This window comes from Homo sapiens, chromosome 10 (genome assembly GCF_000001405.40).
Source record: "Homo sapiens chromosome 10, GRCh38.p14 Primary Assembly".
Taxonomy (NCBI): domain Eukaryota; kingdom Metazoa; phylum Chordata; class Mammalia; order Primates; family Hominidae; genus Homo; species Homo sapiens.
The window spans coordinates 77,205,976-77,230,809 of record NC_000010.11 but is presented as its reverse complement, the minus strand read 5'-3'; the positions used below and the strand labels follow the sequence as shown (position 1 = coordinate 77,230,809).

Here is a 24,834-nt window from a genome sequence, read left to right as displayed (position 1 = left end):
GTAGGAAGCCATTTTCCCTGGAGTGGAAGGGAGGATGACTTCCCAGGAATATGAGCTTTGAGCCAAAGAGGCAGGAACTGGGAGGCTCTCAGTTACACTTGAGAAAGAATTATTTCTCTCAATATTGTTCTTCTTTTCCTCCAGAGCCCCAGTGTGAGCCTGGGTGCAAGCTCTGATAAATTAATTGACAGAGGGTTGACTTCTAACCCCAACTTCACCGGCAAACTTTAGCTATGTAATTCCGCACTGGACAGACTGACAGCTCATTTTCCTCATCCACAAAGAATGCAGTGCAATAGAGAACTTGTGAAATATCTTCTAACTTTACCACTCTTTTGTTTTCTTAATCCTGGCAAAATTCACAGAGCATAAAAGTAACTATTAGCCATTTTAATGTGTACGATACAGTGGTGATTCGTACCTTCACAATGTTATGCAACCATCACTTCTATTTAGTCAAGACATTTCTGTAAACCCAAAAGGAAACCCCATACTCATCAGAGTCACTCCCCATTCCTCTGTCCTCCTAGGCCCTGACAACCACTGATCTGCTTTCTGTCTCTATGGATTTACCTCTTCTAGATGTTTCATCTAAATGGAATCATATATTTGCGACCTTTGTGTCTGGCTTCCTTCATTGACATAATGCTTTCAAGGTTCATCCACGTTGTAGCACGTATCAGTACTTAATTCCCTTTGATGGCTGAATAATATTCCATTTTATGTCTGCCACACATTTTGTTTATCCATTCATTTGTCAATGAACATGTAGATTGTTTCTACCTTTTGGCTATTGTGAATAATGCTCCAATAAACAGTTGTGCACAAGTATCTGTTTGAATTCCTGTTTTCAATTCTTATATGCATAGGAGTGGAATTGCAGGGTCATTTAGGAATTCAATGTTTAGCTTTTTGATGAATCACTAAACTATTTTCCACAATGGCTGTACCATTTTACATTTCCACCAACAACATGCGGGGGTTGCAATTTGTCCACATCCTCGCCAACTTATTTTGTTTTTGTTTGTTTGCTTTGTGTGTGTGTACATATATATATATATATAGCCACTACTCCCTTGGTTCGTCTCAGGGAGTATGCTCCACCTACAGCGGCAGCTTCAGGGATGGCCAGCAGCACAATGTGGGAAGAGCACAGGCTTTGGACTCAGACCGAGGTGGGGTTCAAATCCAGATCTCCCTCTTCCCAGGAAGGTAGCCTTGGGCAGGTGATAATCTCTGCAAATCTTGGTTTCTCCATCCATACAACAGCAATAATATACTGGGGTGAAGAGATGAGTGAAGCTCCTGGCACATGCCTGGCAGACAGTAGGCTGAACAAATGCTCTTCCTCCTCAATTATGGATAGAAACAGAGAGGAAGAGATGGATTTTAAACAATCTGCTTTTAAATTATTGTTACTACTATTTTTGGTATTGGACCTCATTATAGAAAGTTTTTTTTTTTTTTTTTTTTGCCATGGGCTTCTCTGCAAAATCATGCCTGATTAAATTAATACCCAAATTGCAATATGTTTATTCTTTAGCCCAGTTTATGGGGTTAAGGGAGATGGATCTGCATGGTAAATTGGGAAGATTTACTGAGCTAACCATTGAACTAGAGATTCCCAGGTGGATGACCCACCTTTGCTTTTCCATCGTGTCCATATTTCAGGGTGGACTTGAAGTAGTCATTGTTCCTCAAGTTCCTTCAAGAACATGGACTTCTTATTCATCCTAGAAAACAAAAACCTCTTGGCCACAAACTGCTTTGTTAGTTTTGTATACACTGTGTTACTTGTGATGGAAGCACACATTCCCTATGTAAAACTTCAGCCACATCTTTCAAATAACACTAACAAGTTCCAGTGATGTCGTATTCATGCTGAATTATTCTTTTCTTGGTCCCAAGCAAAGTAGGTTTTCACGTAGTGAGTGCTGAGGATACCTCCCCTTAGGGTTGGCGCCCATGGTAGTGAGGGCTTTGGACCAATGCCACATGACTACAGGTGGCTCAAGCTGGAATTTCTGTTCACTGAATGTGGTGAATAATGAGGGAGGGAAAGAGCAAAGCAGTAGCCGGGAGAGTGTTTACACTCAGTGCCCCAGTTAGCTCAGAGCATGGTAGGCCAAGAAGACACTTGGGCAGGCTCATAATTTTATGTGCCTTCAAATTGATATTTGTTATGTAAGTATTCAATATTTATTTAGCAGAGAAACTAACCTTTGTGTTGGGGAAGCGGAGGAGGAAGAAAACTGTTGTAGAGGTGGCTCAGGGACCCTGGCAAGCCTCTTTAGCAGTTCAGAGACTCTTTGTTTATCTCTGATCTTGTCCTTATGGGAGCTTTACCTCCTCACACCTGGCTTTTTATAGTGCTCTTCTCGATCATGTATAGTGAGTGCTCACCCTGAAAATCTCATTTTTCCATCTTGTTACTTTTCCAGTGATCTCCTGGGGACTTTATAGATTGGCTACCAGGAAACCGAGTGGTTGGCTTACCCCCTAATTCATCTCTGGCTGAGAGTTTTCTAAAAGATATTTTAAATTAGGCCGGGTGTGGTGGCTCACGCCTGTAATCCCAGCACTTTGGGAGGCCGAGGCAAGTGGATCACCTGAGGTCAGGAGTTCGAAACCAGCCTGGCCAACATGGTGAAACCCCGTCTCTACGAAAAATATAAAAATTAGCCAGGCGTGGTGGCACGTGCCTGTAATCCCAGCTACTCAGGAGGCTGAAGCAGGAGAATCACTTGAACCCTGGAGGTGGAGGTTCCAGTGAGCCAAGATTGCGCCACTGCACTCCAGTCTGGGCGACAAGAACAAAACTCCGTCTCAAAAAAAAAAAAAAAAATTAAATTAAATGCTTGCTTTTTGGCAGGCGCTGTGGCCCTTGTAAGTATCACCTCATTTAATCCTCATAACATCTTACAGGGTAGGTAGCAGTATTACCCCCTTCTTACAGATGAGAAGACCAAGGCACAGAGAGGCTAAAGTATCTTGCTTAAAGTGACAGCTGGGAAGTGGCAGAAGTACTCCCAAATGGCTAATAGAAATTAGCCATTTTATGTGAACAATTCAGTTCAAATGGAGCATTTTATCCCAGAACTTTACCGTTAATGCCTGCATTTGGCTTGGGCAAAATAGCATAACACTTCTTTCCAAAATAGTCAGGATTTCAGACCCCTGATAATGACAGAGAAATGAAAGCAGTTTGAGGACAGTTTTATCTTAAAGCATCATATGTGCTAAACCTGGTGATTTATTTCTGAGTTAAGATTGGTATAATAATGAAGTACTAATGAAGTACTAATATCCATAATATAAATATTTCTGGGAACTGGTGGGAGCTACCCATCTACAAAGGTGGTTCTGTTTTATTTGGTTCCCAGGGAGTATAGCATTGATGTCATAATTTGCATCTGGCAGTACCTTCTGAGTCACTGGTTAATGCCAAAACATGAGAATGATGGAGCCCTGAAATTCATTAGCTTCTTCTGGGGCTTGGTGAACCTCAAAACCAGAACCTGGGTTTAATCAGACATTCAGTAAGGAAAGTGATCAATTGCTTTTCCTATCTGTAACTAATTGTATTTTTAAAAAAGCAGGGAACTTAATGGGGAAAAATTTTCCCTCTTCTGCTTTTCTCCATGAGCCTCAAATTGCTAGATATTCTGTTTCCAGGGTGTTGATGTCAGTGGAAATGGCATGCACAGAATCATTATCTACTATGCCACAAGCTCCATGCTATGGTCTGGCAAAGAAAAGACTGCCCCAGGCAAAGGGGAAGTCAGCTTATATAAAAAAGCAATAAGCTTTTCCTTAATTGCTCCCTAAGAAGGAGGATTCTGGCATTTAAGATGAGCTAAAAGTACAAAAAGAACATGTTTTGTAATGAAGGAGGCACACCTCCCTCAAAGACCCCTACAACTACTCTTCTGGTTTTTGGCTATTAGTAAAATAGAGACTGAACAATCTCCCATTGTGCACTCAGGAGTATGTGGCTGTCCCGGTAGCCCCCTCCTCTTTTACCTGAAGCCCCTCAGAGCAGTTATGATTGATTCCACTTCTCTTCTGAAAGCATCAAGTCCTGGGCTGGGCAAAGGAAAGATGAATGACTCCCATGGCTCTGTTGTAGATTACTTAGTGCCAGTTGTCAGTTCTTTTCTCCCTGGGAAGGGTTTGAAATGAGATTGTTTTCGACAGGCTATCCATGATAAATGATTTTCCGAGTAAGAAATTGCTTTCACTGCTGAACTTCACCAAATCACTCTGACAAATGTTTGTGGCTGCAGGGGGCCTTCTCGTGGCTGTCTCATGCTTGAGGGGTGGGAGGCTGGGATCTCAAACCAGGATGGCTCAAATAGGACGTCTCCCAGTGAAGACAGAAAGAGACAGGAATGTCGTCTCGTTAATGTGCATTTGGTCAGCTCCTTTCAACTGCTGCTAAAAATCAACAAGTGAGGCCCAAAATATTCCAGATCCAAGAAAAATAGGTAGGCTAAAGGGATGTATACATCTCTTAGTTCTGATTATTACATTGTTTTCATGTTGGTTATAAATAGAACAGCAATATGTACCTACAGCAAGGGCAAGAACCCTCCCAGCAATGTTGCAATGTTTGCAACCTGTTATTAGTCCATGACCCTTCCTGAAAAATCATAAAAGCAGCATGCCCTCTTTTAATATTATTTGGCATTTCAAAAGAGATTAAATACCATGTCTAAAATCACAAAGGACTGTTAGAATTTGCCTTTTCCAGCTGCATAAAGTCCCCCTTCCTCCCCTAGATTCTGGGAGAATAGGGCCTTCTGCAATCACAGACACATGTCACTTGGCAACAGGGGCCCCCAGGGCATTGACGGGAAGATGCCTCCTAAGCTTGGATCTGCGGCCTTTGTGGGTAGCATCATTGGATTGTTTACTCAGAGCCCAGGGTCCAGGTGAGACGACTGGCCTGCAAGAGGGGCCCACAGCACTGTCTGAGCTATAGACAGACCTCGGCAGTTCTGGCTTCAAGGAAGGTTGCCACGCTCCTCCATTCGGCATGTGGCCTCCATGGCCCCTTGGTGCCTGCTAGCTCCCAGTTCCTGTCTCCTCCTGGGGCCACAGGAAGAAGGCCACAAAGGCCTCTTCAGTGGTGGTGGCACAGTGCCCAGCAGTCCCGTGGGCACCTACGACAGCCGCAGGAGTTTCCCATGCTTCCTGCCGTGTGGTTCAGAGAGAGGTGAGGTATTTACACTGCACTCCGCAGGCCTGTGTGGGGAGGAGGAGGCTCTCAGGTGGGAGAATTCTAGAGAATTACTGGGGACACTGGACATGGTTTTTGCTGTGACTTCAGAAGCAGGGTCTGTTTAGAGCTTCTGTTTTTTCCTGGCCAGGGGGAGTCCCCTGGGGCAGGTGGAGAAAGATGAGTCATGTTTCACCTCTCCACCTGTTCTTGCTGAAATGATACCCCATCTTTCTAGTAGTTCCTGCCTTTGTTTAGACACACAGATGGCCAGACTGAAGCCCAAGAGGAAATGGATGTGCTCAAGACAACCCAGTTGGTGAGCTTCAATGCCAGTCTTTTTTGCTGTAATGCCCAGTCTCCCCTGGCCATTCTCACATTGCTCAGTTTCTCTCTGGCCAGTGTGCCTGCCCGTTGACATTCTGCCCTCTTTCAGAACATTGCAGGGGAGGAGTCTGTAAGGTAACCATCACCAAGTCAAGCTGTATATAGTCCAGCATTGCCAACTGGATTCGCTTTATTCATTCACTCATAAAACATTTTGAGCCTTTTCTGCACCATGCTCTGTGCTGGGTGCTGGGACCATAGAAGTAAACAGAAAAAGTTTCCCACCTTCAAGGGGCTCCTGGTCTCACATGGTATCTGACAAGTGGGAGCAGCGGCGCCAACAACAGCATGGGAAGTATGTTGAGTGCTTACTATTCTAGTCCACGTTCTAAGCATTTTCTTTATATTAGCTCTTCTGAGCCTTACCCAAGTCTGTGAGATGGGTGCTGTCATCATCGACATTTGATGGATGAGGACATTAGGGTGCAGATTAACTAAGTAGCTCCCACAGAGTCACATAGGGAATGGGTGACACCTCCAAGATCTGAATCCCAGAAACTCTGGCTTTGGGGATAGATGCTCTGAGTTGGCACTGCAATGGGAGTGAGTCAAGGGCAGGGATGGTCAGCACTTCAGCAGGGTAAGGAAGAGCTGCCGGAAGGAGCTGGTGCCTGAGTGGGGTCCTGAGTGTTCCCAAGGTGTCCTGGTTTTCAGTTTTGGTGAGAAGCAGCCTGGCTTTCCTGAGCTCTGGGCTGGGTCTTTGGGAGCTGGGATTGTCCTGCAGCCCCTTTCTTGTAGTGTAAAGACTGTCATAGAAAAGGCAAGTTCATCAGGGTCCTGCCTTTGCATCCAGGGGGCTTGAGAGCTATACTGAAAAGAGGAGAAGATGTGAAATCCACGTGCTCAGCTCCATCCTCAAAACTCCACTTCTAAAGTCACTCATTTGGGACTGAAAGTTTTTTAGAAACTGTTCAGAAGGAATGTGGCTCCTCTCCCAGTCTGGGGCTATGGGCCATGGGCCTAGGTCACACCTTGCTGATCAGGACAGAAACTGGAATAAATGACTCTCTATTTTGGGAGCAGACACATGTAAGGCTAATTAGGTCTGCTGAACCCCAGGTGTATCAGGGTCTGTGGAACTGTACCATCCCAGATAGGGAGCAAATATGGCAAAGTGAGAAGGCAGAAGCAGCAGTTGAGAATGGCTGACTCATGGGCAGCACCTCTTCCCTGGCCTGACTTCAGCAGGGGGCAGATGGCAGAGGCGTGGCAGAGCAAGCAATCTGAGCCCTCCTGTAGCTGCTGGGTCCATGCTGGAAGAGGCTCCTCTGTTCTGGAACTTCTCTCGTGGCAGTTGGATATTTTAAGTCATGAAGGCTTCCATATACTTAGCAGATCTCTGACTCATTGGGCTGTTTGATTCCTTGCGTGAACCAGTACCACCAAGACTTCACTTTTGTCTTCACTTCGTCCATGACCTCTACCAGATCCAAGCACACCCTCCTTGAAACTGTGCTATCTGCAACCGTGCGGTGTAAAGAAGTCATCTGTGGTTAGAGGACAGTGCCCCACAATTGAGGAAGGAAAAAAGGCATGCCAATCAGAGAGGGCAAAACACTCACATTTGAGAAAATGAACTTGTGTTCTAGTAAGCTCCATCGCTCTGACCCTCCCGGCTTCTGAGTTTTCTGTCACCATGTCTGTCTGTATGTCCAATCAAGACTGTATCCCATCTTGGATGTCATGGGATTCTCATTTTTTATTCATTCTAGATACACTCTGATTATTCTGCACTTTCTTTTCAACTTGTTTGGGGGACAAACAGCTTTTATAGCTGGGGAGTGAGGTTGATAATAAAGACTTTAAAGACAAAAATACAGATGTGCAGGTTAACTGAGCAGGACCAAGATGAGCAGGTGGCTGGGTTAATGTCATCTGAAAAGCCAATACACTGTGTGTCACAACATGGTCTGAGCAAAAACTACAACCACTATGAATGGCTTCCAAATTAAAATTCTTTTTTTTTTTTTCTGAGATGGAAACTTGCTCTGTCACCCAGAGCTGGAGTGCAATGGCATGATCTCAGCGCACTGCAACCCCTGCCTCCCGGGTTCAAGCAATTCTCCTGCCTCAGCCTCCCGAGTAGCTGGGACTACAGGTGCCTGCCACCATGCCCGGTTAAGTTTTTGTATTTTTAGTAGAGACGGGGTTTCACCATGTTGGCCAGGCTGGTCTCGAACTCCTGACCTTGTGATCTGCCTGCCTCAGCCTCCCAAAGTGCTGAGATTACATGTGTGAGCTACCACGCCCAGCCCCAAATTAAAATTCTTTATAGCCAAAGAGAAATGATATAATGATTTCAATGCAGTTAAACTCTGCAGTAGCATGCCCCACAATACAATCATAATATAAAATCAGATATGTAGAGAATGGCAATCAGCTTCAATCCTCTGCCTGTCTCAGATAATAAAGCTAAAGTTCTTTTTTCTGGGAGTGAGGCAACCTTGCCATGAGAAATAGAAATGCAAAGGTGGGGTCCTCTTGGCCTGCGTTCTGTTGGCCTGTTCTCTGGAATCAGGAATCTAGCCCATACAACAGGAGCAGATTAATCGACTTCAGGATGTTTTTGAAGTCATTGATGCTGTTCTGGAAGTCCCAACAGCCAAAGGATCTAGAAGCCTCTAATTGATATTTACCCCAGAGCAGCGAACTGACCCAGGTAGAACCTGAAAATATTGGGATCTTGCAGAAGGACTGCAGACATCTGGCTATGCGGGCTTCCTGAGGTCATTTCAGTGCCCTTACTGTGGTGCAACTTCACATTGTACATGATTGAAATGTTTAGGCTTTGCTTATCACATTATGTTGGGAGTAGTAGGTAGAGACAGTAGGAGAATAGAGGGTTAGAGGCTTATTTTAAATCAGATTGGGCATGTCACTATAAGATCTATAAAAAGGTTTATAATCTAATATGATGCTCATAAAGAGTGCTCTTCCAATCTGATTCTTATGGATTTCCCAGGGGTGATCCCAATCTGATTGTCTTTGTAGTACAGTGACCTTCATCTTTAGCAAAGCCAGAAATGCAGTTCCCAAAGATGGGAGAGCAGCGTCTCTACTCCTGAGCCTAGATCTGCCTTTTTTTCTCTCTCTTGTAGGGAGGATTTTCATTTTGCCCTTTCTATGTACAAATGCTTTGTGCTTTCTCGTATTATTTTGTATAGTCACCCAATAATCCTGTACTGAAGGAGTTATGATCACCATTTTACAGATGATGAAATAGGCTCAGAGAATTTGACATTTGTCTAAATTCATGCAGCTCGTAAGTGACAGAGCTGGGATTTGAACCTGCATCTGTCTGGCTCCTAAGCCTGGGCTGTCTCACTCTGCATCATAAATATTCCTTGTGATGCAGTGTTTAGGTGGGTACAGTCTAGTCCTTTAATGCTTAATGCTGTTTTAGGGGGTTGGGGAGAACATAGACTTTCTTGAGAATTTGATGAAAATTGGACCTCTTGGGTGGGCAGGGAGCCAGGAAGTACCCTACCCTCACAATTTTTTGTTTGTTTTTAATTTTTAATTTTTGCGGGTATATAGCAAGTGTATATATCTGTGGCATACATGACCTGTTTTGATACAGGCACTTATTATGTAATAATCACATCATGGAGAATGGGGTATCCATCCCCTAGAGCACTTATCGTTTGTGTTGCAAACAATCCAATTACACTCTTGCAGTTAATTTTAAAAGGTACAATTAAGTTACTATTGACTATAGTCACCCTCTTGTGCTATCAAATAGTAGGTCTTATTCATTCTTTCTGATTTTTTTTGCACCCACCCCCACAATTTTGCATATAATTTCAGCTAGCTCATGGGGTCCCTGAAGCGCATCTATGGATTATTTAGGCCTAGGGCAGTCCTTGGATCCCAGGTTAAGCTAATTAGGGTCTTGGGAAGATTCGTTAAATTTTTTTAGAGAAAAAGCTTGAGTGATTAGAAGGTCATTTCCAGAAATTTCCTTTTGGCTCTTCAGGAATAAAGAGACTGGGTGAGGAGAGAGGAGGATGGTGAGGGGAAGAGGAACTGGATGGAAGACATGAAGAAATTAGCAAGCAGTAAAAGCAATTTGCATTTGTGAATAATTAAGGTTGTTAAGACCCTACGGACTTGGCTAACGCACCATTCACTAGCAGTTTCTTTTCAGGTTAAAATTAATTGGAGTGTTGGTTTATTTATCTTTTCCCTTGGTGAATCAAATGACTCATCCTGATTTATAAACCTTCCACCTATCCACTCTCTATTAAGACCTGTGGGGGCTAGCGATTGATAATTTTATTGAGTTCCCCAGGGACATTATTTGTAGAACCCAGTTGCTAATGGTTAGGTCAGTGACCGCTAGAGACATCTCAGAACCCCAGAAGCTCTGGTTTCTATGAAAAGAGAAAACAGCCCCAACAGTTGGATGTCACTTATATCTTGAGGCAGACTTTTTTTAGCAGAAACTGGAATATATGGCTAAGGGGGTAAAAAGGACCAGATCCAAGAGCTTGGGGATTTTTAGATTTCAAAACTAGATAGTTTCAAACTCCCCAGGAAAGGAAGAGAGGGCTACTAAAACAATCTCCTCCCCTTTTGTCTAGAAAAGACCCCTTGAAACCACTATTAGAATGGCCCCTTTGTATGCACAAAAACGACCCAGATTTTCTTCTTATCACTTATCTGCTCTCCTAGAAGTTTTAAAATCTCCTGACATTTAAAAAATAAATGACAAGGAAATGTTTTTCCCAGCCTAGCTCTGAGAAAGGCAGTACATCCATCCCAGACCCTGCTGCCAGCCGTTGGAGCCACTGCAGAGGAAATCTGACCCCATGAACATCTAAGCAGGCCGCAGAGCACATGGCTGCCCCTGTGGCTCTAGATTCTGACCACATGGAGTAGACTCAAACTCCAGCCTTAACCAGTGGTGTGACTTTGAGCAAATCAGCCTAGCAGTAAAAGCACAGCTTTGGTGTCAAGCTGCCCAAGTTCAAGTTCTGCCTAATTACTCACCAGCTAAGTGATCTTATTTCACCTCTTCCCTGTGCCTCAGTTTCTTCATTTGTAATATGAAGACAACATAAATAGTAACACAAAAAGGGTGTTATGAGGATTAATTGAGTCAACAGATAAAAACACTCAGAACAGTGCCTGGTATGTGTAGTGGGCTAGAAGGGCACCCTTCATGAATTTTAGTTATTATTATTATTTAAGCTCTCTAAGTTTCAAGGTCTCCACTTGTGGAATGGAGCTGATAATGGGGATTTTATGAGGATAATGAGAAGATACACTTAAGTTCTTAGAAAACAATGCCACTGGGCAGAGCATGACTGCTCAGCCAGTGTTCGGCAATCATGAGTTACCATGTTAGTGATGAGAAACAAACCAGTAGTCTTCTTACAGTTCCTATATGGATTAAGACTTGAGGTTGCTAAATTAGCCAGGTGTGGTGGTGGGTGCCTGTAGTCCCAGCTACTTGGGAGGCTGAGGCAAGAGAATTGCTTGAACCCGGGAGGCAGAGCTTGCAGTGAGCCAAGATCGCGCCACTGCACTCCAGCCTGGGCGACAGAGCAAAACTCCATCTCAAAAACAAAACAAAACAAAACGAACAACAACAACAAAGGACATTTGAGGTTTCTGAGAAATCATATGGTGGGTGGAGACTTTAAAACACTGATCTTTCTTTACTTTCTGTACCCTCATAATCTTTGGCACTAACTGCAGCTGCTGGGTTTAGGGCTCAGGGAAAAGCCACCACCCCTCTTAGAACCCAAGACCCCAGGCTGGTATGGATATGGAATGTACACGTCTCTCTTCTTCCCCACTCCGCTAGTTTAAGCAGAGTGAGCCTGAGTGCCTGAGTCCTATGTCTATTAACTTTTTGTTGTCAGCTCCACTGGTAATAGTGCTTCAAAGAAATGAACGTCTTAGGATCCTTCTTAGAAGCATGTCGTCACGATTGTATTAAGCTGATGGAAAGCAGAACAATAACAACAACAACAAAAACAACATTCCTTTCTAAGCCCTGTGGTCTAAAGGGTAAAGTGAATTTATTAAGCATGTCTGTGAAGCAAAAGCTCTGGAGGCATGGCTGCTGTGCTGATTCTCTGGGAAAGTGGTGATATGGAGTCATATTTGTCACTAGACGAAATGAACCAGGAGGGCACTTCAAGAACAGAGGATCTGAAAGAATTTGGGCTAGCTCTAAAAAATTTATTAAATAATAAAAAAAATAAGGCCAGGCGCAGTAGCTTATGCCTGTAATCCCAGCACTTTGGGAGGCCGAGGCGGGCAGATCACTTGAGGCCAACAGTTTGAGATCAGCCTGGCCAACATGATGAAATCCCATCTCTACCCAAAAAACAAAAATTAGCCGGATATGGTGGCGTGCACCTGTGATCCCAGCTACTTGTGAGGCTGAGGCAGGAGAATCACTTGAACCCAGGAAGCGGAGGTTGCAGTGAGCCGAGATTGCACCACTGCACTCCAGCCTGGTCGATGGAGTGAGACTCTGTCTCAATAAATAAATAAATCAGTAAATAAATAAATCCAACAGTCTCATATATTTTGAAATGAGACCACATTAAAGAAAGGATGCTCTTGGGATCATGGATATTTGCGGGCTCTACATGGGATTGGGTGAGTCGTGTGGTGGTGACCCTTAGCTCAGAGGAGACTTCTACTGGGGTGCAAGTGAAAATGCCTGCAGGAGCCAGGCTGGATGCAAGGCTTAAGAAGTAGTGGGGACCAGGAGACACGTCTTCAGGAGCATCTACCCAGCTCCAGTGAGTTATTCCCCAGTGGGAATATGGAGCATGTCTTGCAGATCTTTTATTCATTCAAGTAATTCTGCAAATCCATTTTAAGAAATGTAACACTTGATTTTTAAAACCTGTATGGTTTTAAATGGTTTAAATGGTTTAAATGGTTTAAATGGCCTGTATGGGTGGCCATTTTGTAACCTTTGGCTATGGAAGACCAGGGAGCTAGTGACGTTGTAATTTGCAAGGAGGCCATGGGAGTCATTTGGAAATGGAGTGCTGGACTCCTTCAACTTCTCCCTCCCTCTCAACTGTCAAGAGAGAAGGGTTCAGGGCTTTTGGTTACCCAGGGGAGATACTTATCTCCTCTGAACTTCCCCACCCACGCAAATAATCTCCTTCAATAGTGGTCCTAGAATTCCATCCCTGAGAAGGATCTTCTCAACCCTCCCATTATGTTGAGATATATATTTAAAGTATTATGGAAATGGCTATTATAAATGGCATAGATAGTTTATATTTTTAAGCCTTTGTAAAGCATTTTGGTCTCATGACATTCCTGCACATCAAGAATCCCTGGTGGTTATCGAACTTTTATGTGCAGGTAGGCTCCCCTTGAGAAGAATAACAAGTAAATTCAAAAGAGAGGCTGAGAATCAACTATTCTCAGCACAAATAAATTTTTCTGATTACAAAAGTTTCCATCACAATGCTTTTGTTGAATTTATGATAGGGTTTAGTTCATAAATCAATTTGATCTACACATAATTTTCAAGAAAGCATCTGCAGCATAAATTGAGGTGCAACTGCACTTCATACCACTTTTTTTCTCCTTTTGTTTCTCATTTTCCACTTTGTTCTGTCTGTGTCATCTGTAAGTATCTCCATGTTTTCATTCGGCAGCTCCTGGAGACTTCATGGCAAACCAACATATTGAATGCAGGAAATTCCAGGGTGGCCAAGAATATTCTCCAGAAATGTACTGTAATTCCTATTCCTTTAATACATACCAGTTGATGTTGGGAGAAGTTGGCCATGTGAGAAGTAAGGCCTGAGATGATGGGATTGATGGGCATCTACATCTCTAAAGCTGACAGAGGAAACATTTGGCTTAGAAAAAAATTTAGTTTTTTTTTGTTTGTTTGTTTAGTTTCTTTTTTTTTTTTTGAGACAGAGTCACCCAGGTTGGAGTGCAGTGGCATGATCTCAGCTCACTGCAATCTCCACCTTCTAGGTTCAAGCGATTCTCCTGCCTCAGCCTCCCGAGTAGGTGGGACCACAGGCACCTGCCACCATGCCTAGCTAATTTTTGTATTTTTAGTAGAGATGGGATTTCATCATGTTGGCCAAGCTGGTCTCAATCTCCTGACCTCAGGTGATCCGCCCGCCTCAGCCTCCCAAAGTGCTGGGATTAAAAGCGTGAGCGATTAAGATTGCACCTGGCCAAAAATTCAGTTTTTGCTCACAAGGTTTCTGCATCTGAACTGTTCATTCATAACACAGGGACAGAGCAGAGACCTGGAGACATGGCTTAGGATCCTGGCTGTGCCACTTAAGAACTATGGGACCTTTCTGTAGCCCACACCCTTATCTATAAAATGAGGAATATAATGTTTATCTTGAAGGGTAGTTGTTGAAGATTAAATGAATGATGTGCACAGAGTCAAAACCATATATAAAGCCAATATCCAGCTTATAATACTCATTTGATAAAATTTTTTCTTATGAATGAATGAGTTCATGGTTAATAAATTATCTTTAAAGAAGTAATTCAAATTTAGAAGCCTTCAGAAGCTGGTACCTAGATCTGACAACAGCTACGTGTACTGTATTTTACTAATTCTAAGATACAATTTTTTCATAGTTTAAAATCTCCAAAATCAGGAAGTGTCTCATCATTCATGACTTCTTATGGCTATAATTGGTAAATATTTTCTTTCTTGGTGGCATATAAAGCAGTGGCTTACTTTTTTGTTGGTGGCAACTTAGATTCCATAGACTAACTCAGCTAGGTTAACTAATTTGAGCTGCTGCTGTTTGCCTTCTCTTCCTCCCGCTTCTCTCACCCTTCCTTCCCACTTCTCCTCTTCCCCCCTTCTTCTTCATAGTTTTATTGAAATATGTTTTATATACCATAGAATTCACTCATTTAAAGTGGTTTCTAGTATAGTCACAGATTTGTGCAACTATCGCTGCAATCTAATTCCAGAAAATTTTCAACACCCCCGAAAGAAACCCTATATCAATTGGCAATCATTCCACATTCTCCCAGTCCCCCAGTCTTCTCAGCCCTAGGCAACTACTCATCTACTTTCTGTCTCTATAGAGTTGCCTGTTCTAGACATTTCATATAAATTGAATTTTGTAATATGTGGCTTTTTGTGACTTCCTTCTTTCAATTAGCATGATGTTTTCAAGATAGAAATAGAGGCTAAGAAGTCTAAGATCAAGGCAACAGCATGGTCAATTTCTGGTGAGGGCTCTCTTCCAGGGTTGCAGATGGCCACCTTCTTGCTGTGTCCTCACACGGCAGAGAGAGAGAGAGAGAGAGAGAGGAGAGAGGAGAGAGGAGAGAGAGAGAGACAGGTGGGGGGGAGGGGCAAGCTCACTGCTCACTGGTATCTGTTCTTACAAGGACATTAATCCCATCATAAGGCCCCACTCTTATGATGACCTCATTAGACCTAATTATCTCCCAAAGGCTCCACCTCCAAATGCCATAACACTGGGGACTGGGGCTTCAACATATGAATTTTGGGGGAATGCAATCCAGTTCATAGCACATCAAGATATGGTATCTCGATGTTTAACTTTTTGAGTAGCTTTCAGCTAAGTTTATTATCTCTGCTCTGGCCCTGGCTTTCATCTTGGCCCTTATAAGTTTACCATGAGGCTCATAGTCTGCATATTATAGATGCCAATACCATAGTCATTTATTTATTTATCTAATGAAAGTTAATTACCTGATCTATGCTGGAAACTGTAAATAAGTAAAACAATAAATGTAATCAGGGAACACAGTCTAGAGGAGGAGACAGGCAAAAAAAAAAAAAAGCAAAAATAAAAGACAGACAAAACAAAACAAAACAAAACAGGTGCAATCTGTAATCATGTTCAGAAGATAAAGAAAAGACCATCCCGACAGAAGAGGGCACTGGCCTGATCTAGTGGGGTGGTGAAGTAGGGAAATTAAAGAGGAGAAAGACATTTTGGACAGGACTCCATGATGAATTGGATGTGGAGTGAATGGAAGGAGGAATCAGGGTCCTTCTAGCCTTCTAGTGTTTGGCTTCAATGACAAGTCGCTGGTGGTAGCATTTACTGGGAAGGGAGGGGCTGCACTGGGGGCTAAGGGCTGCACTAGGGAGAAATCAGGATTTCCATCTTGGATATGTTCAGTTTAAGAAGTCTGTGACACCTGAAAGAGAAGATGTCAAACAGCAGGGTAGATAATTGAGTCCAGAACTCAGAAGAGAGGAATCATATTACATTTGGAAATTACAAAGATGACTTTGAATGCCTGTGAGTTGATGGTACCATCTGGGGAAAGAGTGTAGGGAGAGGAGAGAAGGTGCCCCAGGTGAAGGCAAGAGGATGCCCAACATTTAGAGGGTGAGTAAAGCAGGAGGAGGCTGGATGGGAAACTGAGGAAGGGCACACACAGGGCAAGGAGATGGCAGAAGCCTAGGGAGGAGAGGGTTTCAGGCAGAGGGAGTGGCCAATTGCCAAGCACTGTTGAGACAGAGGGAAGGTAAGGGTCTAGGGTCATCTGTGGAGTTTGTGACAGGGATGTTGCTGGTTTCTTTGACATTGAAGCTCTAGTGAGTGGAGGGAGGGCCTGATCAAAGTGGGCTAAAGGATGGAGCCTGCAGTAGTCTCTGGAAATGTGGTTGGCTATGGAGGACAGTTGAGCAAGCTTATATTTTGGCAGCAGAGCTCCAGCAGCAAGGGAGAGCTTGCTATAGCAACACAGTACAGTTAGACAGTACAGGGCTGAAAGAGTGTCTGTGGAGGGCATGGTGTGTTATGAATGAAGAGGCAGAGGATGTGCTGGGCGCCTGTAAGTGCAGTGTTGGAGAGCTGCTGGTAGGAAAAAAAGTGTAACTGGCCTGATTCTTTTATGTGACTTTTAATGACATGATGAGGCGAGGCCATCCACTGAGCCTGATGGTGCAGAAAAGAACATGGGAGGTTGGAGGAGAGAAGGAAAACTGTGAAATAGTGGCCTTGGAAAATTGGAAAGCAAACCAATTCAAGAAAAATAGCAGTTTGCCAGTCAGTATGGAGTGTCAATTTGCAGTTTGAGATCATGAATTTAAAGCGAAACCAGTCATTTCCCTTGTGTGGTTTTATTCAGGAACTTTCAGCTTTCCAGAGCTGGTGTGAAGTAGGGCTGAGGGCTTCTGTTATGGAAGGAGGGTGCTGCCCAGGGGTGATGACAATGGTGGACTATGGGAATTAGGCTGGACAAGGAGCGTTGCAAGGCAAGGCAGGGAGCAGATGACTGGCCAGGGGTGGGATGTCGGGGGAGGTGTCCAGAATTTGGAGATTTCTCTGAGGTTGGGGAAGGGTCCCAGTGGGGAGCACGTGAACAGGCGAGCACAAGGATGAGAGGTTGCTGTTGATGAATGGGGTGTTTGAGGCCGAGATATCAGAAACACTATAGTTGCTGCTTTCTTCGGGTCCAGAGCAAGATCATGGGAGTGGGTGGGTGGCGTGGAGGAAAGGAAAGGGTCACCGACAATCAGCAGAGCAAGGACCTGGGAGGCCAGCACTTCTGGTGGTTGGTCTATGTCCTGGTGATTAAGATGACTGGAGTTGGGGTGGAGAGGGCAGACTGAGAGCTGGGAGCTATGTCCCAGGCCATAATCACTAGGCCCACTTGTAATTGTGTGTGTGATCACCAGACATTCTCCAACCCTAACTTTTTGTCTCCTGATTACAGTTTCAAACTTAAAACTGACATGCAGGAGTGACTGTTTCAGAAATGTGAGTCCATCTCTTGCTGCTCCTTTCTGTCTAAGGGCTGATTGTATTGGTGATTTGGTTCTTGGAGATGTGAGTGCTCCTGCCCTCATGAGGACCTTCCTTAGACCTCGCCTACTGCCTTTGATTCCTGTGGAGTATAAAAGTCAAAGGATACATTAGGGGGATAAGGATGATAAGCAAGTCCAAGTATAGGTGCTGAAAGCTACTTTCCAGGTCTCCAACTTTAGCTGTGCTCCATTCAGCCAGGGTTAGAGCCGTTTTTGCTCGTTGCAGAGTACCCTGTGAATGTTATACATCATAATTGTATCATTACACGTCATAACAATAGGATTTCAACTGTTATTATTGCACATTCTAATTATGTAATTACTCAGTCTTTCACCGATTATGTAATTAGATTTAATTACACCAATTGCAGAAATAAACGATAGTCAACTACAAATTACTTAAAAAAAAAATCCAGAACTATGCATACGTCGGCAATTGTCCCAAAAATAAGAATAGAAAACATAAGGAAGGGAAGAAGGCTTACGAAACCAATTAGCAAGTGAAAGGAATGATGTGATTTGGATAGATCTTTAAGGATAATGGCAGGGAATCATCTTGTCTAGAAGTTTCCTGTCATTTTTTTTCTCTGACGAAGTGTGGTAGTAGGAATTGAAGATGTCAAAGTCAAGAGCGCTGATTCCTCTTGGCTGTGCCTTGAAGCAGAGATTGCTCTCATTTCCTTAACCATACAGCTTAATGAGGAAGAGGGAAGAGAAGACAGCAAGAGAGAGAAAAGAGCAAGAGACACTGAGCAGGGGAGGGAGAGAAGGAGAGAGAGAGAATATAACAAATTGGCATTTCATAATTAAAAGTAGTATACATACAGTACTTTTAAAAATATATATTTTTAATTTCAGTTTTTATTTTAGATACAGGGGGTACATATGCAGGTTTGTTATGTGAATATATTGCACCCAGGTAGCGAGCATAGTACCCAATAGGTAGTTTTTCAACCCACGGTCCTTTCCCTCCCCTCTCTAGTAGTCCATAGTATATATTGTTCCCATGTTTATGTCCATGTGTGCTCAGTGCTCAGCTCCCACTTATAAGTGAGAACACGCAGTGTTTGGTTTTCTGTTTTTGTGTTAATTTGCTTAGGATTATGGCCTCCAGCTCCATTCCCGTTACCACAAAAGACTTGATTTCACCCTTTTTTATGGCTTTTTAATATTCCATGATGTGTATGTACCACATTTTCTTTATTTAGTCCACCATTGATGGGCACCTAGGTTGATTCAATGTATTTGCTACTGTGAAATTTCATGGCAATGAGCATGTAGGTGCATGTGTTTTTTTGGTATAATTATCTAGTTTCCTTTGGGTATATACCCAGTAGTGGGATTGTTGGGTTGAATGGTAGCTCTGATTTAAGTGTTTTGAGAAATTTCCAAACTGCTTTCCACATTGGCTGAACAAATTTACATTCCCACCAACAGTGTGTAAACATTCCCTTTTCTCCGCAGCCTTGCCAGCATCTGTTGTTTTTTGATTTTTTAGTAATAGCCATTCTAACTGGTGTGAGACGGTATCTCATTGTGGTTTAAATTTGAATTTCTCTGACGATTAGTGATGATGAGCAGTTTTTCATGTTTGTTAGCCACTTGTATGTCTTCTTTTGAGAAGTGTCATTTCATGTCTTTTGTCCATTTTTTAGTGGGATTATTTGCTTGTCAATTTTTTTAAGTTCCTTATAGATCCTAGTTATTAGACCTTTGTCAGATGCATAGTTTGCGAATATTTTCTCCCATTCTATAGGTTGTCTTTTTACTTTGTTGATAGTTTCTTTTGCTGTGCAAAAGCTCTTTAGTTTAATTAGGTCCCACTTGTCAATTTTTGTTTTTGTTATAGTTGCTTTTAGGAACTTAGTAAAAAATTCTTTGCCAAGGCTGATGTTGAGATGGGTATTTCCTAGGTTTTCTTCAAAGATTTTATAGTTTGAGGTCTTCTATTTAAATCTTTAATCCATTTTGAGTTAATTTTTGTACATGGTGAAAGGTAAGAGTCCAGTTTCATTCTTCTACGTATGGTTAGCCAGTTATACCCACACCATTTATTTAATAGAGAGTCCCTTCCCCACTGCTTGTTTTTGTCAGCCTTGTTGAAAATCAGATGGCTCTAGATGTGCGGCTTTATTTCTGTGTTCTCTGTTCAGTCCCACTGATCTATATGTCTGTTTTTTTTACCAATACCATGCTGTTTTGGTTACTGTAGCCTTATAGTATATTTGAAGTCAGGTAGTTTGATGCCTCCAGCTTTGTTGGTAGTTTGATGCCTCCAGCTTTGTTTTTTTGTTTTTGTTTTTGTTGTTTAGAATTGCTTTGGCCACTCAGGCTCTTTTATGGAGTCATATGAACTTTAGAATAGTTTTTTCTAATTCTGTGAAGAATGTTATTGGTAGTTTGATAGGAATAGTGTTGAATCTGTAAATTGCTTTAGGTAGTATGGCCATTTTAACAATATTCAGTCTTCCTATCCATGAGCATGAAATGTTTTTCCATTTATTTGTGTTGTCTCTGACTTCTTTCAGCAGTGTTTTGTAGTTCTCCACATAGAGATCTTTCACTTCCTTTTTTAGCTGTGCTCCTAGGTATTTTATTTTCTGTGTGGCTATTGTCAATGGGACTGTGTTCTTGATTTGACTCTCAGCATGGATGTTGTTGGTGTGTAGAAATGCTACTGATTTTTGTACATTGATTTTGTATTCTGAAACCTTGCTAAAATCATTGATCAGTTATAACAGCCTTTTATAAGAATCTTTAGGGTTTTCTAAGTAAAGAGTAATATTATCAGTGAAGAGAGGTAGTTTGACTTCTTCTTTTCCTATTTGGTTGCCTTTTCTTTCTTTCTCTTGCCTGGTTGCTCAGGCTAGGACTTGCAATGCCATATTGAATAGGAGTAATGAGAGCGGGAGTCTTTGCTTTGTTCCTCTTCTCAAGGGGAATGCTTGTAGCTTTGCCCATTCAGTATAATGTTGGTTGTGGGTTTGTCATAGATGGTTTTTATTATTTTGAGGTATGTTCCTTTGATGCTTACTCTTTTCAGAGTTTCTATCATGAAGGGATGTTAGATTTAATCAAAATCTTTTTCTGAGGCTATTGAGATGATCATGTGTTTTTGCTTTTAATTCTGTTTATAATGCTAATCGCATTTATTGATTTGCATATACTGAACCAACCTTGCATCCCAGGGATAAAGCCTACTTGGTTTGTGGTGAATTAACTTTTTGATGTGCCACTGGATTTGATTTGCCAGTATTTTATTGAGGATTTTTGCATCTATGTTCATCAGGGATATTGGCCTAATGTTTTTCTTTTTTTGTTGTGTCTCTGCCATCTTCTGGTATAAAGATGATGCTGGCTTCATAGAATGCATCAGGGAGGAGCCCTTCCTCCTCAGTGTTTTGGCATAGTTGCAGTAGGATTGGTACCAGTTCCTTGCACATCTGGTAGAATTTGGTTGTGAACCCATCTGGTCCAGGACTTTTTTTTTTTTTTTTGGTTGGTAGGTTTTTTTTAAATTACTGATTCCATTTCAGAGCTTGTTATTGGTCTGTTCAGGTTTTCACTTTCTTCCTGGTTCAATCTTGGGAGGTTGTGTGTTTCCAGGAATTTATCTATCTCCTCTAGATTTCCTAATTTATGTGCATAGAGGTATTCATAATAGTCTTCGAGAATCTTTTGTAATTCTGTGGGATCAGTTGTAATGTCATCTGTGTCATTTCTGATTGCACTTATTTGAATCTTCTTTTTTTGTTAATCTGGCCAGCTGTCTAGCATTCTTGTATATTCTTTCGAAGAGCCAACTCTTGGTTTCTTTGATATGTTATATGAAAAAAGGTAGTACAATATATTTTAATGTGGAGAACAGAGTCCATGTTAAGGTTCAAATTTATGATTCTCCCTTGGATTAGTTTCCTAAACCCCTTTTGAGTTTGTTATCTGAACCTAGAACTTCAGAGCCAGTACTCTATCATGTTCTGTTCCAGCAAAATTTGCAAGACCAAAAATTAATAGGTGAGAAACCAAGAATTTGGTACATGAATAAATGTCATACTCTATTGTTTTTCTTTTCCATTACCTCAGGTTATTGGGTAGCTTTGATCTGAGGTGCCTATAAGAATTCAATTAGGGCTGTGTCACAGGTGTGACCATTTTTTTTCCTATGAAGACATTGTAGAGGGTGGTCTTTTTCTGGAGAACAGGTTTTCTCTGTTGTAACTCCTAGAGGTAAGAAAAGAACAGTGATAGCTCCCCTAGGCTGAGTTCACTCAGCTGCCTCTGTGCCTGGAGAAAGGACTAACCCAGAGCTTCTAGAGAGGAGAGGCGAAGAGACAGCTCTGTGGAGGCGGGAATGTGCACACATCTGGGAGAGTGGGCATGCTACACTTGCACTCTTCCAAAGAGAGATAATTGGTAGGTGCCATTTAAGCATATATATACTTAGGAGAAATTACCCACTGAGCTTGGCCAAGTACTGCATAACCATAGAACACCAGCATTGCTCAGCATGTTCCCCAGGATCTTACAGCAGTTGACAGGATGAGGATTACTTCATAAGAACACATAATAGTTGGTGCATGTACTTACACTGCTATAAAAATAGGTCTTGATGCTATAGAGGGTCACATTGGGGAATCAGTGTATTTGTTTAGCTCTTGCCTGTGCATGAAAAACTAATAGTCTGCAATAACACAAATAAGGAAAAAATGTAGTTTTAAATATAGAATAAAGCCATTTTATTTTGAGCTTTTCTACTGTATGTTTGTCTATGGAATCCCATAAGATGGACAGTAGATGCTAAAGAACTTTAATCTAGACATATTCATCTCTCCTTTGGTTTATGCATAGCTCCAGGATTGCATTTGATTTTTTTGCTGTTCATGGGCTTTCATTTCTGCGCACAGGTTTTTAAAACGTTTTATTTACTTATTATTTATTTTTAGAGACAAGGTCTTGCTATGTTGCCCAGGCTGGAGTTGTGTGATCATAACTTACTGCAGTCTCAAACTTCTGGGCTCAAGTGATCGTCCCGCCTCAGCCTCCAAGGAGCCGGGATTATAAGCATGTGCCACCATGCCTGGCTCTGCATACAGGTTTAATGCCTGTTGAGGTCAACCCACAGCAGTGGAAGGTGGCCCCTAGAATAGAGTAGTGCTCTTACATTGGGCATTTGAGCAAACAAACCCTGGGAAATTGGAACTAAGAGAAGGGAATCAAGCTGGAAGTTTGTAGCCCAAATATTCATTCTCATCTACAAAAATCCACCAGAACAAATAAGGTTAAGCTGATGCGTATCCGCAGATTTGCAACAGTGTGGCATTCCACTCTCTACTTTTCTTGTCAGAAACTGAGAATGTGTAAAATGGAAGATGTGGCGATATCAAGCAGCCAAAGCTATTTTCCAAATGAGGACAAAAGAAGTGCGGCCAGTTTACACAAAGCAAGCGAACTTGCTGAGCAGTTATAATCTGCATTCCAGATTCTCAGCCCAGAGCCATCATTCCTGGCTTGCTCTTCTAAACAGAAATGTCAATGCAAAGATTAAAGTGGATTGTAGTGAGGTAGAAAGTTGTCAGCAGGGACTAACATCAGAGTCTTACAAAGGCATTTTACCTAGTTAAGCATTTATGGTATGCACGCAATTTTGGCCATCACAGGCTCAAGGAGAGGGATTCTACAAAATACATCACATCAGTATAGGAAGGGCCACACAACCTGAACAGACATTAGCGAGGAAGACAAGGAAAGGCTGTCATGCAGTTAGTCACCAGTAGCAGCCGTTCACTCAGTGGATCTCTACCAGATGTTCAATAGGTCAGGTACTGGCTTGCCTGGCTATCATTAGGGGATTCTGATCTTAGTTCTAGTTTGCTCTCTCTAGGTCTACAAGCAGCTTCTGTATTTATTGAGTACTTACTAGGTGCAAAGTGCCATGATAAGCCTTTTACAAACTTATTATTCTACTTAGTAGCACTACTACGATTTTCTTTATTTGCTTGATGAAGAAAGAACACCTCAGAAGGTTTCAATGTCCACATGGTTAGTAATAGGAACTAGAGTTTGAACCCCTGGTCTGAATCCAGAGTCCATTTTCTTAACCTCTAAATTATGCAATGTGTTATATTCCAATATCTATAGAATGCAGAACAATTTTGTCATTGTAAAGATACTTTAAGTGTGGAATTAAAGTTTGTTTAGGGAGAGTCCTCTATTAAATTTATGTAATCAGAAGAGCTTTAGATTAACATGGGACAAGACTATTAATTTCTTCTTCACATAATCTAGAAAAAAAAATTGACAAGAAAATGTTCCATTTTGCCTTCAAATGAAAGCGGAAATATGTGGTTAAGTGTAAGTCAAAAATTAGATGTCAAACATCTTTCCAGGTGCATATATTATATAATATTAAATTGTCAAGGAACTCCTTGTGTTGGAATGCAAGAGAGGAAAATCCTTTTTGTGAGTACAAAAAAATCATATAGACATAGGAAGTGAGGTGGGAGCAGCCTGATCCTAATAACAAGCATGGTTTGATAAAGGAAACACTAGCAAACTAGTATTGACCATAGACTTAATCTTAGTGAGAATGAACTAAGACCCGCCCCCCCCTCCCTCCCTGCCTCCCTTTATTCCTTCCTTTGGCTCTCCATTTATTTATTTACTTGTTTAGCAAAGTTTATTGAGTACTTAGTCTGTGTCAGGCACTTGTGTAGGTTTTGGTGAAACAGTGAACAAAACACACATGTTTTCTGCTTTTATGGGCCTTGCATTCCAGTGGAGATGGCCAAAAACTTGGACAGTTGAAGAAACAGAAAGAAGATGAGTATGGTTAGAGCTCAGTGGGAAAGAGAGAGAGTAATACGGGTGGTAGGAGACTTACGTAGAGGCAAGAGGTCCAGTTCCCAGTTAGACGAAAAACCAAGAGCAGATAGAAGTTTGGCGCATGACTTTACATTTGACAACAGGTAACAGTTAATGAGCCCTTAATCAGTGCCAGTGACTGTCTAAGCCCTTGTCCTGTTTTAACTCATTTAAACTCCACAACACCACTCAATGAATTCTTAAACATATCTACTAAATAGAAAAACAATGAATCCAACGTCAGGTTGACACATTTTTTTCAAACTCTTTTATTGATTTAACAGTGAGTTAGAACACAATGAGATTAATTAAACCTCTTTTTTTCAGTTTTAAAAATGGTGATGCTGTATTAATTTAATTGTCTTAGCACTTATAATTTTTTAACTGAGAAAAAGTATTTTGTATGTAAAGAGATTGTTCTTAAGCTTTAAATTAAACAAATGTTCTCTCGCCTTATGGGGAAATGGGCTTATTTGCAAATGGACCCACTCAATGGTTTTATTTTGTTCTGTTCACACCATACTGTCATGTTGTCCATAGATTCATTAGAGCGAGATTGGTGCATTAATTCATTCCATTATTCTGTTGC

The 24,834-nt window shown here is 41.9% G+C and overlaps 1 protein-coding gene across 56 annotated transcripts in view; it reads left to right on the top strand.

The window, feature by feature from the left end:
- KCNMA1 (potassium calcium-activated channel subfamily M alpha 1) overlaps positions 1-24,834 on the top strand; it is a 768,207-nt gene that overhangs the window by 406,999 nt on the left and 336,374 nt on the right. Inside the window, exon 4 of one of the 56 annotated variants that reach the window (NM_001322838.2) lies at positions 13,252-13,327. The exons of 54 other annotated variants lie outside the window; for them this stretch is intronic. In NM_001322838.2, the coding sequence (NP_001309767.1) occupies positions 13,266-13,327 (62 nt within the window). In that variant the 5' untranslated portion in view covers positions 13,252-13,265. Of the gene's footprint in view, positions 1-13,250; positions 13,328-24,834 lie in introns of those variants that run through there. One more of the 56 variants, XM_017016223.1, reaches the window with a different exon arrangement.